At 43.6% G+C, this 3375-nt stretch overlaps 1 annotated feature.

The window, feature by feature from the left end:
* Positions 392–992: an enhancer, noted in NCBI's record as "H3K4me1 hESC enhancer chr20:59289824-59290424 (GRCh37/hg19 assembly coordinates)". NCBI's record gives its function as "activates a minimal SCP1, AML or CMV promoter by ChIP-STARR-seq in naive H9 embryonic stem cells {active_cell/tissue: H9 hESC(naive)}" and the evidence as "EXISTENCE:reporter gene assay evidence [ECO:0000049][PMID:30033119]".

Consider the following 3375-nt stretch of genomic DNA (forward strand, 5'->3'; position numbering starts at 1 on the left):
AATTTGGGTATCATAATTTTGACATCATTTAATGTATCTTTTAGAATAAATAACTGTTAATGTTATTAGTGCAAACATATACATACCTATACACACATAAAATCAAAAAGGATAAGAAACCATGTCTTCGTGAATTTTCCAGGAAATAGTAATAAAACAGGGATTTAAAGCACACACACACATGCACACACACACGCACACACACACAGACACACACACATCCTAGCTTTACCTACTCAGAGGGTTTTAAAAGCAGGGATGCCTCGGAGCTGGTAGCATACGAGCTTAGTTCTTGGCTTCTAAGCAGCATTTCCCATTAAAAGAAAGGAGAGCTCAAAGACATACAATGATGTATCAAAGGTGAATCCATTGGATAAATGTGGGATAATTTAAGCATCAAAAAACAAAACAAAACACACAATGTGGGTTTCTTTTTTTTTTTTTTTTTTTTTTTTTTTTTTTGAGACAGGATCTGGCTCTGTGGTCCAGGTTGGAGTGCAGTGCTGCAATCACGGCTTACTGCAGCCTCGCCCTCCCAGGCTCAAGCAGTCCTCCTGCCTTGGCCTCCTGAGTATCTGGGACCACAGGTTGTGTGTGTGTGCATGTGTGTGTGTGCATGCGCGTGTGTGTGTGTGAGCGTGCAAGCGCGAGCATGTGTGTGTGTTTTAAAACATTTTTAAAGTTTTCTTTTGTAGAAATGTGATCTCACTGTGTTGCCCAGGCTGGTCTCAAACTGTCAAACTCCTGGCCTCAAGTGATCCTTCCACCTCTGCTTTCCAAAGTGCTGGGATTACAGGTGCGAGCCACTGTGCCCGACCACCAATGGTTTTAACTGTAAATACATGAGCCAATAAAAATATTGAACTACAAAAAAACCCAGAGCAGACGCAAAGTGGGAAACCCAAAACAGAGAGTGTGGGAGAGGAGGGGATGCGCCTCCCAGGTTCCTCTTCAGAAAATCCTCGGCAGAGCAGCAGCAGGGGGCGCAGGCAGCACCTGAGCTTCAGCTCCTCCCACCAGGCTCTGCCTGGGATCCAGGGAGCACCTCCCTCAGGCTAGTGCTCTTTGGGGTGTCAGGAGCCCTGAGTGAGGCAGGATGGAAAGTCCTGGCCACTTCAGTCCCACACAGGGCCACTGGGCAGCTGACCCGTTCTGGAGGCGATGCCGGCCCCAGAGTTTTCCTCCAGGTTGGCCAGGGCTTGCTCTGCCTGCACTACAGTTCAGCTTCTCCCTCTGCCCAGTTCTCCCCTTCCTTCATAGGTGAGCATCTCTAATACACATCCTGCAGCCCAAACTCCATCTTCGCATTAGATGGGGAGGGGGAATCCAAACTGTAACAAGAGAACAGAAAAAGAAAACTCATTTGTCACTATTAAAACTGACAATCAGGACCACATTTTACCCTGAAAGTTAGGAAAGAATTAAGCATTTACCCAGAACCAGTTTATCCTCAGTGTGAGAAAACAATTTAAATGGTCCATTTTCAGGGCATGATGAATCTGAGCACTGGCAGCCAGCCTGGAAATGTAACAAACTGCATGGCTCATGCACCTGGAAGGTCACAATAAGTGAGCAGAATGGAGAGGAGGGGTCGGCCCATAAAAGGGAAGAAAGTTTCATGATTGGGAAATCGAAACTTAAGCGGGGAAGGAGACGGGGTATAACCTTATAAGGGGGATGAAATTTAGGCGACGTCCAGGAAGATCGTAACCCCGGAGAACTCAACCAATGAAGAAGTGGGGGAGGGACTTGCGTGCTAGGAGATAAATCACCTGTTGTGACTGCCCTGGGTGTGCCTGCCTACAAGACAGCCCATCTTGCAAGACTGTTATTAAAAGTCTCAGTTTCGCTGATCTTCGTGCCTGTAAGTCCATCCTTTGGGTTTGGGCAGATGAGTGTGTTTCTCACATCAGTTAATAAGAAAAGCTGTTCTTTATAGGAATATAGCAAGTAATAAGTGAGGAAGGAGGGATACAGTTAGAAAACCACCCTTCCCCAAGCTCTAAAGAAATCATTGATCCTGACAGACAGATTATCGGTGATGGCTAAAATCATTTGGGAGAAGATTCTTGGGAAAGGGACATAGTCTCTGCAAAATTATTATTTTAGAAAAACAAAACAACATGGCAGTAAGGGAGGTGGGGTAAGAACTGTAGAAAAGAGGGGACAGATTGAAGGCCATCCCCACCAAAGCCATGTGTAAATGTGTAAATGTTGACTGGTTGCTGGAAAGTGGAAAATCAGCTTGAAACACTAACTCCCCCTTAAACTGTGGGAATAACATGCCGGAGTTCAACATGGGGATGCAGATTGACGGGTATCTCTTACATCCTTACATCCTTACATCCTATGACTGAGGGGTGAGCGGGGAGTAGAGATTTGTGAATGGGTATTTGCTGTTGTGGCTTGCCCCCTGCATTCATTTTCTTCTTAGGATAAGGGGATCTCAGATCTCATTTGCTGAATCATTTACATCCCACTCAACGATCCCTGGGTTTGGGTGGGAGTAGCCACAGGACCAACCCCAAGAATTGTGTCACTGGCACCTGGCCATTCAGGCACAGTGACTGGACAGGGGTAACCACACGACACAGGGAGCCCTAGTGCTTTTTCTGAAACCACTGGGAAAGAGTTATAGACTTCATTAAAAGGTTAGTAAATGAGTAGGTGGTCAGCCTGGAGCTACATGCTGATCCATACAACAGCAATGGTGGCCCTGCCTGAGAATAGAGCAAATGCAAATGCAACCAAAGGCAGAGAAGGAGAACGACAGCATCATCTGGTTCCCCAGATCCAGCCATAACTGAAAGCAACCCCCAGACCTTTCCAGAAATAGAAGGCAGTAAGTTTCCTATTTGTCTAAAGCCAGTCTGATTTGTATTTCTTTCCTTTGCAACTAATAAAGTGCTGAATAAAATATATGTAATAGTCAAAAATGTGGGCAAATTTAGGTGTATATATGTGGGAATCTTTTAAAAATTTTCATAGAAAAAAGCATGCAAATTTTTATTTTTAAATTTTAATTATGAAACATTTCACATAAGCATAAAAGTGCAGAAAAGAACAAATTATCCATGGGCCCACCTCTGAACAGATATTAACATTTTGTCATATTTGCTTCTGAGTTCTTTACTGAAGCATCTGCGTGGTTTGAAATGCAAGGTAGGAAGAGTATAAAGTGTTCTATCTGCTCTTTCTGTCTCCTGAGATCTTTTCCCTTAACGACTTTCAGGATTCGTGGATTTCAGTGTATCTTTTCATAACTATTCAAGTACATCCATTGGCTATACATTTTACCACAAATTACAACATTTATGTAATTAGACTTATCCTTTGCATTTTCCAAATAATATATATTGGAGATTGTTTCCTTAT

This window comes from Homo sapiens, chromosome 20 (genome assembly GCF_000001405.40).
Source record: "Homo sapiens chromosome 20, GRCh38.p14 Primary Assembly".
NCBI lineage: Eukaryota > Metazoa > Chordata > Mammalia > Primates > Hominidae > Homo > Homo sapiens.